Source organism: Homo sapiens, chromosome 2 (assembly GCF_000001405.40).
Source record: "Homo sapiens chromosome 2, GRCh38.p14 Primary Assembly".
NCBI lineage: Eukaryota > Metazoa > Chordata > Mammalia > Primates > Hominidae > Homo > Homo sapiens.
The window spans coordinates 82824377-82849151 of NC_000002.12; the positions used below are offsets into that span (position 1 = coordinate 82824377).

Consider the following 24775-nt stretch of genomic DNA (forward strand, 5'->3'; position numbering starts at 1 on the left):
TGAAATCAATTCCAATTTATGCTCCTTTTGTTATAATATATAACTTTCTTTAAAGCAAGAATATTCAGCTGCCTATAATAATGACATTGCATGCTTCCACTCACAAACAGTGTCCTTACTAATGGGATTGATGACTAAGATATAAAGCCAAGATTTGAGGGGTTGTGTGTAGGCTAACCATATTTGCTTTGAATACAGAAAACATTGACAAATAGGTCTTCTCTTTTTGCCTATGAAGAATTCAGATAAACCTTCTTTTCAACAACAAATGCAAATAACAGAAAACCAGGAACTGGGGAGAGAGCTGGTATTACTGAAAACCAAGGTAATGGCAGAACTGTGCTCATGTGTCCCACCATTCACTTTTTTTAGAGATGCTGCAGCTGTTTTTGATGGGTCATTAGTGTTTAATCTGAAAAGAAAATACAGTCTAATGTTTTCTGTGACTAAAAGCACCATAAACTGGATTGAACATGAATAAAAGTTGCACATTCCGTCATTTGCAATATGCTTGGGTACCAGGCATGGGGATATAATGATGGCCCTGGTGCCATTGGACTAAGCAAGTTATTGATCTTAAGGAAATTTCCACTTACGTAGCAATTATGTAATATCCAAATTATGAGGCTAGGTAAATTATTTCTCTAAATTTGCCTAAAAGACAAAGCACAAGATGGAAAATTCTGGCTTTGTACCTGCTGGCACACTAAAAAATCTGGTTTAAAGTATTTTATTTCCCTTATAACATGTTGCCTATACAAGTTGGCAAACAGAAACAAGATTGTTTTCTGCAAAATTGTCAAAGAATGAAACCTGTGTTTTAATCACCTGGTTCTTACTTCAACAGTAGTGATGAACCCATGCCACGTGACCTGTGCTCAGTGACCTTAAACTTGCCTTCTTGTTGCTGAGGGTAGTTTCAAGTCGCAATACACAAACTTTTTCTCTCCCAGTTCTCATGTACTTATTTCAAGGAAGTTCTACTTAAAATTATTTTAGTAGATTTGAGCACTTTAAAGCAAGATGCATATGGAAGCTCTAAACTCTTCCTATACAATATTTTCGGAGAGAGGAGAAAATTCCAATGTCACTGCTTTGTTCTCAGCTCTTGTCACCTCATTCCGCCTTTTCTTTTTTCTAATGAGTATATGGTTGAGAAAGCACTTGGTGCTCCATTTTTCAGAAACATGTCAATCTAAGAGCCGTTGCAAAAGAGTCCCACATGCCCTAGAATGCCCTGGTCATGATGTTAGCTTGTTGAAATCAATCCCTTCAGTGGTTTACAATCAACCCACTGCAAATAGTTAAAGCTTAAATGCATAATAGTTTTCCTCTGAATTTGCACATTATGTTTTATGTACCTATTTGATGTCGCTTGAAACATTCTTTAATGGCAACATAATAAAATAATTGCCAGTCATGAGTTAATCCTGTAGTAGCAAGTACCTGCTCTGTGAAGGAGATCTGATATCTGTGCTCTGTGCAAGGAGATCTGATATCTGATATACAGATCATCCCAAACACGTATTGGGCCACTTTGTCAAGGACCTTAAAATATAACAGAGAAGCAAGTCGTGAAATGAATAGGTACAAATTGTGCCGAATACTGTGAAAGAAGTATATGACTACTGATTGAGATGAACATTCTGAAAGAAACTCCATGGGAACATGAATGGAATTTTAAAAGAAGACTTAATATCGATTTGAGAGTCAAGGACTGACTCTGAGAAAAGGAATTTAAGACTTAGGCAATGGCAGCATTTAAGTAGACAGAGACAAGGTATAGTGTCTTAACCATAAGTCATAATCTCATTTTTAAAAAATACACTGGCCACTATGTAGAAGATAAATTGATGTGGTTGGGTGTATTCAGAGGGAGAAGGGACGGAGGCAGAAATGTTAATGAGATACGCAATTAAGAAGATGCTGTAATATTTGAAGCAAGGGATTATGAAGGCTTGAATTTAGGTGTGGCAACAGAGAAACAGAATGGAGGTAACCTGAGTTATGATTTGAATGTAGAGTCATTGATATTTTATGATGCGTTGGGAATATGGAAATGTTGATTTCGAGTTCTGGCTTAAATAACTGCAGGTTTGCAGGTATTCTTTGCCAAAATATGGAATCACAGGCAGACATTTCATGTGGTAAGGAAAATCTAGGGTTAAGTTCTTAAGCTTGAGATGTTTATGAGATATTTGAGAGGAGAGGTAAAAATGAATATGGGAAAGGATCCTTGACTAAGTCCTCTAAATAATGAATATGTATGATCTGTATGAACAGTCCTAATGTAGACCAAAAGACAAATGTAAATACATTCTTTCTTGTGGAAAAATGCCTTTAGCTATTTTCAAATGCAACTTCTCCACTCATTAATTTTTGTTACGATTATTGCTTGGTAATGTTGTGAATATTTTTAAAGAATTTTATAGCAAATGTAATTGCATGTTATACTTTCTATCTTCTCATTTTGGAGAATTACCTTTCTACTACACTTTTATAAATTATAGGTTAACAGAAATGTAAAATCTGGAATCCAAGCAATCTCCCGTTATGATTTTGTGTCTATTGTTCTATTAATTGAATGTATTGGTACAAGGGGAAATTTATAGGTTAAATTGAATTTAGTGCTTTTGAAGGCAATTTTATCTACTTACAAATTATTAAGAAATTTTCATAATAGTTTAAGTAACACTTTACTCACAGTATCTTGACATTAATTTCTGATCATTACTTTTGTTTGGAATTGTATGAACCTTCTTAATGTAGAATCTCTAATATCATCTACCTAGGCAAATTTTTTCAATTATTGCTTCAGGACTATCCTATACTCTAGGACACTTGCAATTCCTATTTTAAATATCTGGCTCATTTTCCATGATATTTCTACCATTTCTTTTTAAAAGTATGTCCTTGCAGTCTCAAAATAGTTTCCAAGTAATCTTCTATATTGCTAACCAGGGTTTCTATCTTAAGATTTTTCAATTTTCTAAGTGAGGTCTTATTTTGACTACTACGTTTTTTATTTTGCTGATTCTTATTCATAATATTTTTAATAGCGCCTATTTTATATAGTTTTTTTTGAGAAATCTGCCCCTGTTTCATAAAGAAAATACTTTCAAAAGAGTTATTTCTGAGACCTGAAAGCTTGAAATGTCTTTTAATGTAATGAATATTGTTTCATCATTCTAAAATTATTATTTTTCTGCTCAATTTAGTCTTCTATTTCATTATCGTCAGGTGTGCATTTAGATGCTGACTTTGCATTCCTCATTCAGTTTTCTCTCTTTTTCAGAAAAAAATACTGTCAGTTTCTTAACCTGGGACCTATAACAAGGCTGCTCACAGAAAAGGAACTATCTCCAGTTTCACTGGGTGCCCTGGATTCATAGATGGACAAAGTAAGGAATGTAAATTGGGTTCTAGATTAAGTTCTGTTGGGGAGTTAGTTCCCTAAGTTATAGTCAGTTCACTAAATTTTAGTTAGTTCCTTAAGTTTTAGAGATCAGGAAAAACTAAAAAGAAAACTTTTGGTATTGAAGGCAGTTAAATGGGCTCTATTACATCTAAAGAACTAAGATAAAAGAGAAGGTGAAACACAGAACCCCACATGATAAAAGCAAAAGGAAAAATAAAACAGTATGTTGTGTTTGTAAGTTCGTGTTGTTTTCTGGTACTTGAAATACACTCATGCTTCAACTTCTCTGCATCTGCCTATTTCAACTTTCTTTACTTTAATCTCCAGGAGGATTGGTCTAAGAACACATACAGATGTGTGTTGAATTCCTGCTTCATCTTTTGTCCTATGACCTAAGGATAATTTTAAATATCTCTCAACCTCATTTTTCTTATATGCAATAGGAAAATAATAACTCTAATTTTCACCATAGACTTAAGGAGAGGTTTCAATGGAATATTTAAATAAATGATTTAGCTTAGTAGGCTCAATAAATACTTTATTAATGTAATTATTATTAACTGTATAAACAATAATAGTGATACTACTTTAAAATCTATTCTAAAACATGGACCTTTTTAATGAATTTATTAAAATGCCAGATATTAAATTTAGGTTAAACTTGACTAAACACATTTTTATGGTTACAAAGAGTAGTATTAATTCATATGTTAATTTAAAATTCAAGTTACAAAATTATACATGTATATATAAATATAATAATTACAGAAATAAAAGTATTATTCATACAGTAATATAATGCTTATATTAAATATTATATTATTAATACTTTCTATGTATAGAAAGAAAGACTAGAAGGAAATCCACCATGACATTAACAAGGGAATCACTATATTATGACAATATAAATAATTTGTTCTTGATCTATTTTTCAGTGCTTGAAAATTTTATTTTATAGTAATAATGAACATTTTTAATTGAGGCAAAAGTAAAAGAGAAGGTCCTGGAGAATTTGTTCACTTTTCTATATTTTTATATATTTCAGAAGCTCTTGATATGATAATGTATTCATGCAAAATAAACTGTTTTCAGAAATAAATCTAGTTAACTCTACTCAGATTTAGGCAGCCGTCAAGCAAGTTGAATGAAATATCCATTCTTAATTTCATAGAAGCTTTACATTTTGCTGAAAGTGACTTTTAGAAGTTTATTAGAACAAAAGTGACATAATGAGAAAAGTGCAGTGGCCATTTGGAGCCATCACAGTTTATACTCCAGGTTGAAAATATAGACTGCTTAAAAATTAGTAGACAAGACAAGGACAAAAGGGTAAGGGAAGAGGAAGTGAAGGAATGTACTGCAGTTATTCAGAGCACTTGGCTAATTCAGACACTCTCTCTAGAAAACTGTTTAATTCTTTAAAACTTACTTACATAGAGACAATTCCATATAGTGTATCTTTAATCCCATTAATTTTGCACCATGCCCAGTATCCCAATATTGGTGAATATCTGAGTTTTGACATTATCAACACAGTTATCTACTACAGTGTCTGGAATTTTTATATTTCACAGGCATGATAGGGCAGACAGATAGAAATAATGGGGTATGTTTAGAGAACTTGAGCAAAAGTGTTTACATTATTCGTAACTCAAGTCTTTACTTTGGAGAGCCAACCTTCATTAACTACATTGATTGTTCTTCAAGAGTGTGTTCATGACTTTTTGCAGATATAGGAAAAGCCCAAAAACTTATTTTCCCAACATCAAATGCTATTTGATGATGATGTTTGCTTAATCCCGCTTCATACCTGCTAGGTAGAACACAAATTATTTGTTCTGTTCTATTCGATAATGATGTTTGCTTCATCCTGCTTCAAACCTGCTAGGTAGAACAAAAACTAAATGCATATTGAGAGTAATGGTAACCTTGCAATTCTCCATCTGACAAGGGATGTCTCCACACTTGCCATCTAATAGAAGAAATAGAAGATTGACATTTCTGAGGCAACCAAGAATACTCATTTCTGTGCTTTTGTTTTATTTTAATTTCAGAAATCATGAAAAAATAAAATTAAAAGCTGGAAAAAAGTTTAAAGATAATTTGATGTACCACTCTCCTTTCACCTGTTTATAAATATGAGGTCTCAGGAGAAAATTATTTGCTAAGTCAGAGTCTAATAATTTGTTAGAGTTACTCGGGTCTTCCAGCTGCCTGCCAGTCAATGAGCATTCTATTCTTCATGAAACATAAGCAAAGTCTCTGAGGTGTGTGTGTAACAGAGAGAAAGATTTAGTATACATATAGTACTTTTTTTCTTTCTAAAAATAGTGAGGTATTGTTATTGACACATAAAGTTCTATTCTGGTCAGTTTCAGGATAAAATAAGTTAAATATTAATGCTAAGAAACAAAAATCTAATATTGCTCCTGCTTGATTACATCTTTTTCTATAAATACAACCTAGAGTTATTTTCCATAATATTCAATTATGTCATTTACACATTGTGAGTTTACTTGAAATATATTCAAAATATGTATTCATTAATATTTTGGCAAGCTAATTATTTGCAAGTCTAAAATTGGCAACCTATGTCAAATGGCTTACATATTCAAAAGATTGTAAACTCTGGAGAGGTCCTAAAAGGTCAAACTACTTCTGAAACTAGACAGACTATAATTTTCTTAGGGTGGCATAGCATATAATGAGTATCTCTCAATTAAAACCCACACTGCCTGTTGTGCCTTTAGATTTTATTGCTTTCTGTATAACACTACCTTTCATACTCCTGGAGCATACAATTTAAGAAATAAGAGGGAGTCCCTCAAACATTCATGCAAGATGAAGGCTAGAAGTGAGATTAATAGATTCTTGCATTTATTCAATACACATTTTTTAATACTACATTTCAGGCACAATTCTGAGCTCTGTGGACACACAGATAAAAATACAAGGTCCTGTCTTTGAAGAGATAACATGTTTATTAGATGAGACACACATGCAAATAGGTTATTAAAGCAAAGCTGAATAAGTGTTCTAAAAAAGGTATAAGCAAAATTTTGTGAGACTACAGGGAAAGAAAAGTCCAACATAGTCATCACAGGAAAGGAAACTTTTAAGGTGAATCTTCTAAAGACTTTGCAGACATGATACAGGATTGTATTAAAGAGAGAAAGTGTAAGGCAATTTTAGGCAAAAATAGTGAATAGTCAAAGAGAACCTTGAAAGAGCATGACACATATGGGAAATAATTAGCAATTAGATGTACCTAGACCCACCTGGAATCATCATGCGTAATATTCACATAATTTGGGACCTATAGTCTAGAGCTTTGCATACCACATTGACGGATCTAGAATACCCAGCAAGGTTTGTTCACCTATGTTTGTTTACTCAGAACTCTTGGTTTAAATGTTGCCATGGTTTGCATTAGAATTACAAGGGCTATTCAGAAGACAGAGGGCTTAATCATGTCCACTACTTCTTGTTGATTTCTTCTCTTCTCCACAAAATGACTGCTTCATGTACTAGACCATAACTGCATACATCTATAAGACAGCTTTACTCACAAGATGAAGGGATATTCCTTAGTGTTGATATTTCATTGACTTACTCAGGTATTCTGATTCAAAAAGAGGCTCTACTCAGAAGTTTGGTGCTTTGGTGGTTAGATACTGCCAGCCCACTCAGTGAATTCAATCTTAATACCTTCCACTGTTAGACAAACCTTCTTCTTCCTTGGCCCCACTGAATTTCACCAACCTGTTGTCAGCTGTGATCCAGGTGCTAACAGTTCAAAATTTTCAAACAGACTAAAACTAAAACAACCAAACTTCTGTCTCTCACTGCATTCAGTTATCTGCTTAAGGACCTATGATAAGTCTAATGTAAGTTACAAATTTTAAAATGAATGATGAATAAATACGACAGTATCACAAATACAAAGTGATAAGAGCAGAAATCCTGATAAAAATTGCTATTTATGTATTGTGGTGCTATCGCTGTCTTTGGCTGAAGATACAAGAAACTTGAAGATACAGTGCTTCCTGGAAAACTTATGTGTACACTTCAATCATTCATTTATATACAAATCAAGCTTATTTGTGTAAGATCAGCATGAGGCCAAATCCTCTGGATATTTGAAATAATTGGTTCAGCAGAGTGTCTGCATGTAGAAGTAATCTTTTGCTTAGGTCTAGATATTTATAAACACTAAGTTTAAAAACTTGGGCATTTATGAAATTCCAACAGCAGGAAAGAATAATTCAGGCAGCAAGTGAATCCTACTCAGAGGCTTATTTTCAAAGCTTACGTTAATGTTTACAGTATATCTGAGGAAACCCTCAGAAGGAAGTTGTTTTATATGTGCAGCACCAGCCTCTGAAACCAATGTGTGGCAGAAAGACTGTCACTTTTTCTAGGCTGTTAAAATACAAATGAAACGTTTTCAAAAACCAGTCAGACAGATGTTCCAGGTGCTAAGTTTTCATAATTTTACATGTTACTGTTTCCTATTTCATCACTTCATTAATTCAACTCTACTAACAAAGACATTAATATTTCTATTTCTGCTCTCAACCAATCACTCTGAATACAATACACTCAAAGGATTTCACTTTCTAGTAATGCATTTTAAGACACGCTCTCTGAGTGTGTTTTGCATCTGAATGTGGTGACATGACAACCTTACCAAAAAGTTAAGAATTCATATTAGGTAAGGGAAATTAGCTTTGAAATCTTATTCTTGTTTCCCTTGTTACTTCCCTTACTTCCCAGCTTTAATAACTAACCTTTTTTTCTTTTTCCTCCCATAGGCTTTCTCTTGTCAAGATCTTGTCTTTCAACTCTGTTGGATAGCATATTTATCTTAGTTTCAGCCTTGAATTCTCACTTGGACATATTCTATTTCCCTACCAGAGTGTAACCCCAATATAAGGACTGACAGTCAAGCTCTACTACACCTCTTAGCCAGTTTCTCCAGATAATAACGAATACCATACACATTCACAGGCCATGTTCTAAAGGATTCTCAGAAGGTACACCACTTTGAATTTATCTATTCTCCTTCTCTTATGCTAAATTTTGCTAGTAGAAATGTGTGACTTAGGTTATTAAACCTCTCAATGTGTCCTCAATTAAAATTCAAAAGTTTCTATGAAGAAAAGCTTGGATTGAACACTTTAATAGATTTTTAAAATAAGATTTCAAAGAAAATATTTTGCTCTAAATGGTACACAGGATGGGTGTCCAGAGATCATGCAGTCTGAGTAATAGAAAGGTCCAGAAGAAGGATGGGGACATGTCCAAAGCTACTCTAGCTGTTTCACACGCTTACCAAATCTGACATATTGATGTGAAAAAATTAAGTATGTGTTATTAGAAAAGTAACTTTAGTGTTTCCAGAGAATATTATTAATGAAATGTACAAAAATTTTGTTAGCAAATCCATAGCAAAATATGTCAAACATTGTTGCCTCCATTTTAGACATGTTCATGATTAAATTAGGACTGATTTTTAGGACCAAAAACTGAAAGAGAGAGAAAAAGTAAGAAAGAAGAAATTACAATTTACATGGTAATTCAAAATGTCTGAACATAGCATACTAAAGATTCTTGAGTAACTCACTCTATTTGATCTTCTTATTTCCAGGTCACTTGATACTTTTTCTAAGGATGTTCTTACAAGTCAAGAAAATAAAAATGTTAAACAGTTAGGGCTGAAAAGTCTACCATTTACAAATAATACTTCCTCTTTACTAACAATTATTTTCAGATATTAAATTTGTCTACAAGAAATTTACAAACATAGATATATGCACAGATATAAAGGCAGAAGAAAAATTCTGAACAATTACCAGCAAAAAAAATTCACGTGGCTGATCCAGGCAGGGGAGGCTTGAAATCAAAGGTTGGTTTGTGGTAATCTCTGCTCATTAAAGCTCAAGGTCTAGGCCGGGTGCAGTGGCTCATGCCTGTAATCCCAGCACTTTGGGAGGCTGAGGCTGGCAGATCACTTGAGGTCAGGAGTTCAAGACCAGCTTGGCCAACATGGTGAAACTCTGTCTCTACTAAAAATACAAAACTGAGCTCGGCATGGTGACTCGTGCCTGTTGTCCCAGCTACTCTGGGGGCTGAGGCAAGAGAATCGCTTGAATTTGGGAGGAGGAGGTTGCAGTGAGCAGAGATTGTGCCTCTGCATTCCAGCCTGGGCAACAGAGCAAGACTCTGTCTCAAAAAACGAAAGAAAGAAAAAGAAAAAGAAATAAAAACCTCAAAGTCTACCTAGAGAGAAACATAAGGAAGGTACCATGTAAATGGAATAAAATAAAAAGAGCTCACTCAAATGAACTGGGGCACTTTTAAATAAATGATTTGGGCCGGGCGCGGTGGCTCACGCCTGTAATCCCAGCACTTTGGGAGGCCGAGGCGGGCGGATCACGAGGTCAGGAGATCGAGACCATCCTGGCTAACACGGTGAAACCCCGTCTCTACTAAAAATACAAAAAATTAGCCGGGCGTGGTGGCGGGCGCCTGTAGTCCCAGCTACTCGGGAGGCTGAGGCAGGAGAATGGCGTGAACCCGGGAGGCGGAGCTTACAGTGAGCCGAGATCGCGCCACTGCACTCCAGCCTGGGCGACAGAGCGAGACTCCGTCTCAAAAAAAAAAAAAAAAAATAAAAAAAATAAAAAAAATAAATAAATGATTTGAGCTATGATGTCATCATCTGTAAATAGGATATTAAAACCCACCTTGAATAATTGTTATGAAAAACCAAATAAATTCTATATAAAATAATTGGTACTATGTAATATGTTATTTAAATAGTTATCCTGAATGACTCTATACTCATACCTATAGTCATACTATTATGGCAGTTTTAATAGTAGTTCCACAAGTTAGTTACAGGTATATGAAGAGATGTGGGAAGGCTTTTTGTGGGTAAAGTATTTGAGAGAGGATTTGAAGAATAACCGAAACCGGTTACCATGTCTCTGGTGTATTACATTTAGTCCAAGTTTTCCAAAGTGCGTTTTGTGGAACACTAAATTCCCAGGATGTATTTATAGATATTCTATGATTAAAGATTTCTTAGAACACAGAAGATTAGGTAGCACTGAAATAAACAACACAAGTATGTATTTGAAGATTTAATTTATATATCAGTAATACAAATATATGCATGGTGGTGGGAAAGGAGCATAGAAGAGAGTATACAAGTTTCAAAAACTCATTTTATCATTAAAACAGTACTTTTCCCTAAAGGAAAGCCCAAATACTTTGTAAATGATGTGTTTGCAATTTGGAAAATGCTGATCTACATTTTTGCTTCTGGGACATTTAGCTAAGTACCAGAGGGCTTCATGTATTTTTCTTTAATATATGCAAAGGTAGGACTTTTGGTACACTACACGTTAAGTAAAATCAGAGCTTTAAAATGTTTCATTGAGATATTTGAACCCTATGCAAATCCCTGCTGATCAGTGGCAAAATAAATACAAAACACTAATCTGCAGGTGGTACAATCTCTGTCTAGGAAGCAGCAAAACGGGGATTAACCCACCAAAATAATTAAGACTATGTTTTTCAAATTCAAAAATGGTATAGGAATATAGATCAATGATCAGGCATTGCTATGTGTATGGGGTTGGGTGGGAGTAAAGGGGGAAAAGCAGCAAATGGTGGCTCATGTGACACATAACTGTCAACCTCTCAAAGATTTTCCCAAGGGAAACTGCTGGCCACTTGAATGATTCAAGAAATATTAATAAATTTGCCTGAAGTAGATACTTTATTTAACAAAGTTGTTCATCTGCATGTTATGCAAATATAGTATCTATCTCTCTGTGCCAGTGAGAGCACAAAAGCATTTGAAAGATTGTCCCTACCATGTTTTCCATTCTTTGCTATGCAATTATGAGCAATTTTCCTAAAATTACAAATCAAGAAAATATTTAGGGGATTTAAAAATGTATTGTAATTGCTTCCTAGTGATTTGTGGTATACACATACACACACACAAACACACGGAGACACATGTAAACATACACAGTGAAACAAAAAAAAACCAAACTGTATAAAGGTAAAAAGCTTGAAGGGAATCTATTCAGGGTATATGTGCAATATAGAGTATTTTTGGCTTTTCAGGATGTTATGATGAAAACTCAGAGATGGTGAATTTAAAGAGGGGGGCAACAAGGTCTGAGAATATTTTATTTACATTTTATTTTATATTTTAATTGACACATAATAATTGCACATATTTGTGGGGTTCACAGTCTTTCTCTCTATATAATATGTAGTAATCAAATCAGTGTTATTAGCATATCCATTATCTTAAATGTTTATTATTTGTATGTTGGGAACTTTCAATATTCTCCTTCTAGCTATTTGAAACTCTATATTATTACTAATTAGAGTCAATCTACAGTGGTATAGAACACTAGAACTTATTTTTCCCATCTAACTGTAATTTTGTATCCTGTAACAAATATCTTCCTATCTCTCTCTTTGTTCTACTCTTCCCAGCATTTAGTATCCTCTGTTGTACTTTTTACTTCTATGAGATCAACTTATTTGTTTTGCACATATAATTGAGAACATGCACTGTTTATGTTCCTGGCTTATATAACTTAACAAAATTTACTTTCCCACTAACAGTGTATAAAATTCTCCTTTTCTATGCATCCTCATCAGCATTTGTTATTTGTTGTCTTTTTGATAATAGTCATTCTAACTGGGGTGAGATGATACCTCATTGCAGTTTTGATTTGCATTTTCCTGATGATTAGTGATGTTGAGAATTTTTTCATTTACTTCTTGGCCAGACTGACTGTAAGTCTTCCTTTAAGAAATGTCTGTTCAGTTCATTTGCCCAATTTTAATCACATTTTTTCTTCTGCAGTTGAGATGCTTGAGTTCCTTGCATTTTCTGAATATTATTATCCTGTCCAATGAATGGTTTGCAAATATTTTCTTCCATTCTGTAGCTTGTCTTTTCACTTTGTGGATATAATTCCATTTGTTTATGTTTGTTTTTGATGCCTGTGCTTTTAAGATCTTATTCATAAAATCTTTTTCCAGACCAACATCCTGAAGTGTTTCGTTATGTTTTATTCTAGTAGTTTTATAGTTTTGGGTCTTATATTTAGATGATTGATTCATTCTGAGTTGATTTTTATATAGGGAGAGAAGTGGGTGTCTAGTTTTATTCTTCCGCATATGGATATCCAGTTTTTTCAGCAGCATCATGTATCAGAGAGACTTCTCCAGTCAGTGTTTTTGCCACCTTTGTCAAAAATCAGTTGGCTGTAGATATGTGGATTAATTTCTGGATTCTCTATTCTATTCCACTGGTCTATGTATCTGTTTTTATACGCTATCATACTCTTTACATTATTGTAGGTTTGTAGTAAGTGACTTAAGTAGGGTCTTAGGATGGGTTAAGAGAAGCACCACTCAGAGGTGTGGAAATCTACCTCCAGCTAGTTCTAAGGACATTTTAGAAGGTAACAGATGGAGAAAGACATGCAAAAAAAGTAAGACAATCTTTTTAAAGGTGTAAAGGTGTGATAGATATCATGCTAGATTGCTTTGTTTTGATTTTTTCTTCTCTATTGATTTGGTAATCCTTATAAACAAATAGATGATTCATTCACTGTAATTAATTAGTAAATAAATAAAAATAACTTGAACCAGCAATCCAACTCAATCTGCTAATGCTGTGCAGGTCATTCACTGAGTAATTATTATATTATATCTTCCAAGTAATAAAGTAATGGACAGTCTACCTTGGTATCATGATGTTGCTTATGTGTGTTGTCTTCAATTGATTCATTTATTTATATTACAAGCAGGTACTCAATGTCAGGAACTATACCAAGTGTCAGATATAAAACAAAAGATAACAAAGTCTTTGTACTCAAGTATTGCTCAATCTGTTGTGAAAAATTGGCATAAAAACCAGGTGTGCCTTCTCAGATCCCTCAACTGCTATTCATTTACCTTCTCTGGTAGTACCCACTTCCACCAAGTTGTCATTCCTTTTTCAGATGTGCATGAAGCACCATACCAGAGAGATATGGAACTCTATTTTCAGAATTTTTCAGAATGTCCACTGGGCAGCCAGCTGATTGAACTCAGAAATGGGACATGTTCTCTCCCTATGCGGTGAATCTATAACTGTGAGGATAGGAAGCAGAAAGGATCCAGGCACATACACTTCCCCTACTGTAGAAGGCTACTTTGAACGGTACTTCTCTCAATCCATTGTAAGTTCTGCATGCTGATTCATCTGCTGTGTCTCATCACTGCTGAATGTGAAATGTTAACCACAACCGTGAGGAACTGACTTTCATTGCATCACATCAGTTGCTTCTTTCTATTTTCTGTCATTCTCATCACTCTGGGCTTGTGCTTCCCAGGATATTTAGCACATTAATTCTCCCAACTTACTGTATTTCTACTGATCCTGGGATAATAAACAGTCATGGAGGCAAAGGGATCCATTAAGAGGTGAAATAACTACTATAAAAATAGGAAGTTAATTATTAAAAATTAGGAAAACTAAATAGTAATGAAAAGATTGCCTAACACTTATTGAGTGTCTCCCATGTGCTAGATACTTTAAATTTAGTATGTATATTTTAAAAAAATTATCCTCCAGGGTAAATATTTTTTTATTATACATTTTAGGAAAATGCAGAGCAGATAAGTATGCCTGACAAAGTTATGCAGATAATATTGGTAAAATTATATTTAAACCTGAGGTTTTCTATGTTCGCATACAGTATTTTTTTCTGCTCAATGCTTAAAAGGTCAGGGAGGTCTTGCTTGGGGATGTAGCTTTGGTAGTAAAGAAGTTCACAAGAAAAAAAGGACTTTCCAGGCTGATGGAACAATGTGAATGAAGGGGCATATACAGTGTATGACAACCTGACTGTTCAAATCAGAGGATTAGAGCTTTCTTTGTTTGCAATGCTGCTTGGAACTTGAGCACTACTACTGACCATGCCACTACAAGCAACGTATTCCAGAGAAAAAAGGTCAAAATTGAGAAGTAAATTTCATCTTGCCAATGAAGAATAAAGAATGCCTTACTACCACCTGCTGATTTCTTACACTTTTGTTCGATGCTTATTTCTAATACAAAACATTTACAAAAATGTTTAATACAAGACTATTTACAAAAATATAACCTAAAAATGTGACATAAACTTTAAAATAATCAAGTTTCTTCTTAGATTTTGAATTGCTCTATAACGTGGACATTGGCCTGATGTATCAGGGATAAGAAATAGACCATGTTGTTTTAGGAATGTCAAGGTCACTGCTGGAATGGCATTTACATGCTGATGAATGATCTGTAGTTTGCTGAGCTGGAAAAGTCTCAGAATTGTCAATGCTTGAATAAATAAATAAATGAATAAATAACAAGAGTCAAAGGCAATGATTCAGAAATAATAGACTTGAAGCGAATAAAGTGGTTAAGTATGGAATTAACCTAAGGGGAAGTGGATGAAAAGGGGAGAAAAAGGAATCCCTGTCAAAACCAATCCTTGCTTAAGAGTTTACTTCCGGCCAAGAGAGGTGGCTCTCATGCCTGTAATCCCAGTACTTTGGGAGGCTGAGGCGCACAGATCATGAGGTCAGGAGATAGAGACCATCCTGGCTACCACCGTAAAACCCAGTCTCTACTAAAAATACAAAATTAGCCAGGCGTGGTGGCACGCGCCTGTAGTCCCAGCTACTCGGGAGGCTGAGGCAGGAGAATTGCTTGAACCCGGGAGGCACAGGTTGCAGTGAGCCGAGATCATGCCACTGCACTCCAGCCTGGGCTACAACGTGAGACTCTGTCTGAAAAAAAAAAAAAAAAAATTTACTTCCATTGTTAATCTGTATTTTTGACTTATTTTTTGAGTGTAAGAATATCTTTCTTGTAAATTTGTTTGAGTTCATTGTAGATTCTGGATATTAGCCCTTTGTCAGATGAGTAGGTTGCGAAAATTTTCTCCCATGTTGTAGGTTGCCTCTTCACTCTGATGGTAGTTTCTTTTGCTGTGCAGAAGCTCTTTAGTTTAATTAGATCCCATTTGTCAATTTTGTCTTTTGTTGCCATTGCTTTTGGTGTTTTGGACATGAAGTCCTTGCCCACGCCTATGTCCTGAATGGTAATGCCTAGGTTTTCTTCTAGGGTTTTTATGGTTTTAGGTTTTACGTTTAAATCTTTAATCCATCTTGAATTGATTTTTGTATAAGGTGTAAGGAAGGGATCCAGTTTCAGCTTTCTCCATATGGCTAGCCAGTTTTCCCAGCACCATTTATTAAATAGGGAATCCTTTCCCCATTGCTTGTTTTTCTCAGGTTTGTCAAAGATCAGATAGTTGTAGATATGCGGCATTATTTCTGAGGGCTCTGTTCTGTTCCATTGACCTATATCTCTGTTTTGGTACAAGAAAAAAACAAACAACCCCATCAAAAAGTGGGCGAAGGACATGAACAGACACTTCTCAAAAGAAGACATTTATGCAGCCAAAAAACACATGAAGAAATGCCCATCATCACTGGCCATCAGAGAAATGCAAATCAAAACCACTATGAGATATCATCTCACACCAGTTAGAATGGCAATCATTAAAAAGTCAGGAAACAACAGGTGCTGGAGAGGATGCGGAGAAATAGGAACACTTTTACACTGTTGGTGGGACTGTAAACTAGTTCATCCATTGTGGAAGTCAGTGTGGCAATTCCTCAGGGATCTAGAACTAGAAATACCATTTGACCCAGCCATCCCATTACTGGGTATATACCCAAATGAGTATAAATCATGCTGCTATAAAGACACATGCACACGTATGTTTATTGCGGCACTATTCACAATAGCAAAGACTTGGAACCAACCCAAATGTCCAACAATGATAGACTGGACTAAGAAAATGTGGCACATATACACCATGGAATACTATGCAGCCATAAAAAATGATGAGTTCATATCCTTTGTAGGGACATGGATGAAAATGGAAACCATCATTCTCAGTAAACTATCGCAAGAACAAAAAACCAAACACCGCATATTCTCACTCATAGGTGGGAATTGAACAATGAGATCACATGGACACAGGAAGGGGAATATCACACTCTGGGGACTGTGGTGGGGTCGGGGGAGGGGGGAGGGATAGCATTGGGAGATATACCTAATGCTAGATGACACATTAGTGGGTGCAGCGCACCAGCATGGCACATGTATACATACGTAACTAACCTGCACAATGTGCACATGTACCCTAAAACTTAGAGTATAATAAAAAAAAAAAAAAAAAAAGAATATCTTTCTTGTGGAAGAGTGTGTTCTATCATGGAATAATATACAAAAGCCATTGGCTTTCTCTCCTTTGGTATCTTTTGCTTTTAGATTGTTATCTTAGTGAGTCTTATTGATATGAAAATTTACCCTTTAAGCATAACAGTGGGATTGTGCTATTTTATCCGATAAAGTATATGATCAACTATGCACCCTGACATCTCAGAAGAGGGTAAATTAGCATTCTTCTTTGAGTGTGGTGGGATGGAAGAAATCTAAGGGAGAAGACAAAGGTTCATAGATGTACAGATACTGGTGAGATGGCAGATTCACAAAATCAACAAGTATCACAAAATTTTAAGGTATTAGGAATAGAATAAATAGATTTGTGGAGGACATGTCGGCATCACTTCTTGGGTGGCTGAAGTTACTTTTGCCGTAAAGCATTACATAAAGAAATAATATTGATTGAAGAGAGGAAAGCATGAAAGGAAGGAGGGAGAGAGGATAAAATCCTTCATGTTGCTGCTTCTTGTAATTCTGTAACTATTACATATTGCTCTATGACTTTGAACAAGAGTATAACACTCATTATCTTTAATTTTTCTCACCTGGAAAATGAAATTTAATATTTTATATGCACTGAAGCAGAGAACTGAAATAGCTGATTCTCAATTTTCTAACTCTTTTAAAGTTATTAGAGAGAGCAAGATATATCCACAAAAGCCTAAAAATGAGGCAGACATAGGTTAGAATCTTGTCTCTTTGCTTTTCTGGTTGAATTGACTTGAGTAAGTTATTTGCATGTTTTGGGTTATTTTGATTCTATTAAGAATTACCCAAACTGCTACAAAAGATGGTAGATTAGATATAAGAGAAATAGCGGAGCTTAGAGTTACAACATGAAGATTCTATTTTCCAATAAACTTCAATAAACATAACTTTTTTTGTTTTTCTTTTTTTTCTTTAGAACTTTTGGTGTTCATTTCCTTAATGTTTAGCTTTTTAGAACCGTCAGTTTGACCAATAATTTCAGAGTCTGCCTGGTTTTCTCTTGTCTTTTTTCTGAATATAATTTATTTTAATTTTCTCCTATCATGTTGGAGATTCTGATTGATAGATTTACAATAGAATCTCCTTTTTAACAATATGTGATAGGATCATCTCATAACAAAATGCCAGAACTATAAATTATACATTACCATTCTGGAAAATCCTTATTCCATAAATCCTTGTCCACTTGTCCCTGGCAAATTGAGTTTGTGGAAACTACCACAGAACTTGTTCCAGCAGGCTTACAGAGGTAAGGTAGAACACCAGAAACTGCTCATAACCATAGCTACAGATCCATAATTGCTATCACATGTTGGCCTAGCATCTCTCACTTTCTACCATCATTAATGACTAGTATTCACATAATCTCATCCCTGAAGTTCTAAGTAAATGTTCTCATACGTAGAGTTTCTATAGCTGCCTTTGGCTCCCTTAACCTTAGCTCTCCAAATTCTATATGATCAAAACTAGCTCTGTTGGCAACACATGATAAACATGAGAATAATATTGTAAGAAGATTTATCATTGATAGCATTGGTAGTTTATGCAAATTCTTGGAAAATTAATACTAGAGTAAATGCGGACCTAAAAAGGATATGAAGAGGAGGGAGCAAAATAAAAGTTCACAGTTTAGAAAGATCTCCTTCAGAACTAGGAAAAGAATCAATTGAATGTGAAAGTAGGTGAGTTTATGAAAGAATAAAAGAAACAAGCTATATAGCATTTTGTACAAGTGAAGAATTAATAGAACATTGTGTTGAAAAAGTGTGAATAAAAAGAAACAGGACTAAACAAGGGACATTAAAGGAGTAGAATCAACATGAAGTTTAACTAGAAGTGAGAAGTGAGGGAGAAAAGTAAGCTAAGAATGTGCCACAGGACTCTGGCTTGAGATACCTTGTGACTAAGAAATATTATAGATTTGAACAAAATATAAGCTTATTTTTAGGTTTAAGGAATATGATATTTCTCTGGGTCATACAAAGAAATTTGTCAGGATTTTGGAAACCAAGAGTGAAGAGTGTTGCAGGATGGAGAAGTTAATAGTTTCAAAGTTTCATAGAATTTGCACATCTTAGATGCTGCAGGGAAGCAAGAAAGGTGAAGACTGGACATTTCTTATTAGGTTTCTGCCCAAATCCGGTTACCCTTCTTTAAAAATGTAGTTTAATAACTTGAAGCTAGATCACAAGAACAGTATGAGGTAAAGCCATAAGATCTCTTTTCACAAATCAACTTCTCCTCAAATAATAAAAGCAGCAACACATTGCAAATTTTATACTAATTTATATTTTCCAACAGTTGCTAAAAAAAAAAAAAAACCGGCCTTCCATCAGTTTTCCCTTTGTCCATCAGATCAAAGTTTATGTATGTATGTATGTAGATATGTTTGTATGTATGCATGCATACATATGTATATATTTGTGCTTAAATTATTCAAAATTTATTCATTCAATTACAAAAAATATTAATGTTAATAGCAACTTCAGGATGAGCATATGATGAAGTCTTGCATGATTTTCTTCAAGCCCAAGGAGGCAGCCCTCTATGTGTCCTATAATGTCAGATAAGGCTAGTAACCATGCTTTCATCCGACTCCTCTCACTATCTCAACAGTCTCCATTGTCCCTGGTGTCCTATTCTAAATCCAGTTCACTTCCTGGGATCATGTTGTACATGAAGTAAACCTCACCAAACCACCAACAACCAGTGTTTTCTTGGGGGAATACTTGAACATTTAATTTCTGAAACATTTTGGATCTCCTCCGTGAGATATATTACTTAGCACCAAGCTTTTATTAGTATCTGTACCATTTGTGTTAACATTATCAATATAAACATTTGGGCCATTCCCTTAAAAGCACACGGTTCTCTCAAGTCGCTCATCTTTGAAATTTCAGAGCTCTCCAAAATTTTGCTTAAACCTTTATAACAATTCTCTGAATCTGTATACCCCAAAGCACTGGAATCCCTCTAAGATATCTCTGTTTCTAAAAAACAGGGGGCTCTTAGAAAGTTGATGTGAAAAAAACACATTAAAAGTTGTTTCCTAATATTCATCCAGTCTTTTTTTTTTTTTTTTTACATTTATGGCTTCTTATTTGTTAGTATGGAAACATCACGTGCTTTGTCATTTTCAGAAGGAAGGATGGGTTGGTCAACTTCCTTCATCTCTCTTTATTCTAAAGAGTAGAATAGTTTTTAGCTAGTGCCTGGCTACCCTGGATAAAGACATAGGAAGAATCATTCTGATGTAGCTTTGTAACTAACTGCGGTCCATTAAATATAAATGGAAAGGTCTGGTGGTACTTCTTAGAAGCTTTCTTTAAAAGAGAGCCTCCAAATCTACTTTTTCTCATCATGGTCTTGATCCTGCTACCGTGAATGAAGCTGCTGCCATCTTGGAATATAAAGATGAAGGCCACATGCTGGAGACAGTAGAGCAGTGAGCTGGAAAAAACCTTGTTCCCTAATACTTTGTGATACATGACTGCTATCCTGAAACCTTAATGTTTTACTGTTTAACTTATTGGAGAAGAAATAAACTATGACATTATTTTATTATGCTACTTACTGGGGAGTTTATTGTTAATAGCCCTAATACAATATTCTTTGCATCTATGCAGTTATTTTTCTCTCTCTGTAAATATATTATAGCTCAAGTATAGGTCAGTGTCATCTTACAGCCATAAATTGTTAACATATATAAAGTAAAATTCATGACAAATTTAGACTTAATAGAATTATTCAACCTAAACACAAATTGGTTATAAACAGACATACAAAAGAACAATTAAATCTAATAGTAAATAAACTTGTGGATCAATTACCAAAAACTTCATGATTCCCAGAAATATATTTTACTAATAACATTTTAATCTAGTGAGCAACATGTTTCTAATCTTAAAATAATAAAACCTTCCCACATAAATTGTAATTTTAATAGATACTCTCCATATTCACTTGACATATAATTAATTTGAATAATAAATATATTAAAAGTAAAATATATCATGTACACTAACTTAACTTATTAATTAAATCTTTGTAAAAACAAAATGATCCACCATAGAAACAGAAGAGTGCTCAGAAAGTTATCTTTCACTCTTTCTCCTTTATTGTCAATTTTTCTGTGGACATCCAAGTTTGCTTTACATTTACATGTTTTGCACACTAGTTTTTTATCTAGTAAATGAGATATTCAATTTTTACTTTCTTGGAGTTGTAAGGAAAGCTTTGACCATAAATTATTTTGGACAGGACAAATTATCCTTGAGTACAGAGATTATTAATTTCAGGACATTGAAATGTCCTTAAGAATTGGAATTGCCCCATTCTACAATGTCCTTGTCAGTTAATTTGCCAATCAGAAGAAATCTGCCTTTGAGAGGAATATTATATGAGGATTAAGTTGTAGCATTCTATTCGATTATAGGATGACAATAGTTAACAGTAATATACAGTTTCAGATAGCTAGAAGGAGAGTATTGAATATTCCCAGTGGATACATTGAGGTGATGGATAGACTAATTACCCTGTTATGATCATTATACATTATATGCATGGAAACAACATGTGTACCCATAAATACGTAAAAATGTTATTTGTCAATTAAAATAAAATAAAAATCAATGATAGGAAGGGTAACTTCAGCTATGGTGGCATGAAGAGTTTGACAAATACCTCCCTCCCAAACAAATGTAACACTGGAACAATTTTTCAAAAATAACTCTAGTAAGTTCTTATAATTTTATGTTGCCTCAGCATTCATCCTGAATATAAATCGAACTTTCTTATACCAGAAGCACGCTCAGTCACCCCTGACACAGTTTCTAGCTCTCTGCCCCCTCTCATTTCTTCCATATAGTCAATCTAGGTATCTACTTTATACAACTGCCACCTGGCCACCTCCCTATGGGAGAACTAGATATAACCTACTTGACTACCCCACTGATCTCGACACCTCCCATAGACTGCACATTTTTGCTACAGTGACCATCTCTCAGACACAGTCTTAGCTCCAGAACTCATGTCTGCTTGCTCTAAATTAACCTTTTGAACTTACTAGGAGAAACCTGCTTAGGTTATGATTTAGACCCCAGTAAACGTCTCAGTAGGTCAATAGGTATCTCTTTCTCTCTCTTCCCACCAGCTGGTTAGGCATCCTGCTTTCTCTGGACTTCCTGTCTGCCCTCATCGATTTCTCTTTTCTCTTGTAGATCTGTGAATTATAAAATTCTTCTTTTACTAAACAAAACGAGAGAGAGAGAGAGAGAGAGAGAAATCCTACAAAAGTGAAAGGAAGGAGTTTGTTAAAGCAAAAAAAGCTGCATCTACTATGCCTGGCTTCACAGGCTTTTAACATGTGTAGCTCTACATTGCCCTGTGCTCAGAGGGGCCCAAACCTTGCTTAAATGGTTTTGAAAAAGGAGACTCACATCTTCATTTTTCACTGGGATCCACGAACTCTGATGCCAGTTCTGGTATCAAGAATATGTATGTGGGCCAGGTGCAGTGGCTCATGCCTGTAATCCAAGCATTTTGGGAGGCCACGGTTAGCAGATCCCCTGAGGTCAGGAGTTGGAGACCAGCCTGGCCCGCATGGCAAAACCATGTCTCTACTAAAAATTACAAAAATTAGCCGGGTGTGGTGGTGCACACCTGCAGTCCCAGCTAATAGGGAGGCTGAGGCAGGAGAATTATAGGGAGGCTGAGGCAGGAGAATTGCTTTAATCTGGGAGGCGGAGGTTGCAGTGAGCTGAGATTGCACCACTGAACTCCAGCCTGGGTGACAGAGCAACATCCCATCTCAAAAAAAAAAAAAAAAAAAAAAAACAGAAAAAAGGAAAGAAAGAAAGAAAGAAAAAAAAGAATATGTATGTATGTGTGTTTATTTTACCGAATATAGTAGCATGCTATCTTGTGATGGAAATCCATATACCTAAAATATTTTACAAGTAACGACAACAACAAAATAAGGCTGTTAAAATTTGGATAATATTCTTTAAAAATATTATGATTTAAAGAAATTGATTGAGGCCAAATAGTCTGTGACTTAAAAAAAATGCCATTGAGGTTACTGAGAACCTAATCACAACGAAGGAGCCGTAGGGAGAAACTAAATTTTAGCACATACATATTCTCTTTCCTTTTTCAAAACAAATGATGTTTTAAGAGACAAAGTTGCTCATTGTGATTGTTATAAATTATCATATATTAACTCAGATGTTGTATAACATTAGTTGTTAAAATCAATTATATTTTCTCTTGGAGACATTATTTTATTGAAGAAGAATAAATAACACAAATTACAATTTTTTTCAAATTGCAATCCAAGTAGCAGCATAACAATGCAGTATCATTTAGTTAATTGTCTCAGCATGTTACATGTTTGAAAGACGGAGTATCTGTACTTCTAATATCATGTAAATCCAGTAGGGAGGAAAGAGATCCAGATTTGGATAAGTTAATCTTTTATATAACATTAGACAGAATAGGTTCTATAAGCAGATTAGGTGTTAAGAATCTGCCTGTGGCAGCCCTCTTACTTCTAGTTAATACAGCCTTGCTTTTCTAATCGTCTAGTTTATGAATATCTTTTATTAAGCTTATTTGTTTGTTCTAAAGCCTTAGTATCTTTGTTATGCACAGGTTTTAACTTCATCTTACTGTTTCTAGTAATGAATCAACTCCACACTTAGATTACAGGGCCGTTTCATTTCACTTTTGCAAGAGATCAGATCTCCCTTCTCTGTAGCAATCTTTGTCCATAAGATTAGGAAAGAAAACTGGTATCTAATACAGTCATGCATTAACTTTTAAATAATTCCTGTTATCAGCCTAGCATTATCTTCAGTGGTACCTGGTGCCCAAGACATTTCTGAGGTTCTGCAAGACAAATTGTCTACCTAATTCTATGGGCACCTAGAATAACTTTCCTATTTGCAAAGTCCTTTACACATAGTCCTTCATTTATTTTCTAAAAAAAGATTGATTTCTTGTCCATAGCTACCTCTCATTTTTGTTTTGTGTTATTTGTTTTAAATGATGATATTGTTTTGTTTCACTTTATTTCCTCTGATGTCATTATAGAATAAATTCATGTAGTTATTTTTCTGTGTTTACCTACTGCCTTAAATCATTTTCTGCTGCTAAAAGAATACCTGAGACTGGATAATTTATAATGAACAGAGTATAATTTATAATGAACAGAAATTTATTTGGCTCATGGTTCTGGAGGCGGGGAATACCAAGAGCATGGTGCTGGCAACTGGCAAGGGCCTTTGTCTCGCTCTGCTGCCAGGCTGGAGTGCAGTGGCGTGATCTCGGCTTACTGCAACCTCCGCCTCGCGGGTTCAAGCGATTTTCCTGCCTCAGCCTCCCGAGTTGCTGGGATTACAGGTGCACACCAGCCTGGGCAATAGAGCAAGACCTTGTTTCTAAATAAATATGTAGATTAATTAATTAAATACTGAGGAATATTCTGATATTCCTGCAGACATATCGCCCTTACTTCCTCTCTCCCTCTCTCCCACAATCCTCTTCATCCCCACAGTGAGATTTATTCTCTTAATATTCAATGCATATACACAAAATATGAAGATTACATAGACCATTTGTTAACCTCCTAGAAATCAGCTCTATTTTGTTGTAGAATTACATATAGTGTCCTGGACTTGCAAAGAAATATGGAAAATTTATTGAATCTCTGATCCAACGCAGCAAAGAGACCCCAACACAACTCTTCAGGCTTTTCATTTCAGCCATACAATCAATCTGTCTGATTTGGTTTCCCTCGTTACTGAGCCAAATTTTCATTTAAAGGAGTTGAGCAATTATTTGTTCACTACATAGACACAGGCTTGGGCTATGATCTTAGTAGTCGATAATGCAGAATCTCAATTTTCCTATATGAAGAATGGCACAACATAAAAAGGGCAAATTTCTGGGTATCTGATTTTTCTTCCAGCTTATCTGTATCTAGAACTATCATAAATTGTGTCAAT

At 34.8% G+C, this 24775-nt stretch overlaps 1 long non-coding RNA gene across 1 annotated transcript; it reads left to right on the plus strand.

The window, feature by feature from the left end:
- The first annotated feature begins 1579 nt into the window (after nt 1-1579).
- LOC105374831 (uncharacterized) lies at nt 1580-13740 on the plus strand. Its single transcript, XR_001739196.1, has 3 exons — nt 1580-1780; nt 3296-3401; nt 13468-13740. It is a non-coding gene; the product is annotated as an uncharacterized LOC105374831 (long non-coding RNA).
- Nucleotides 13741-24775: the final 11035 nt, after the last annotated feature.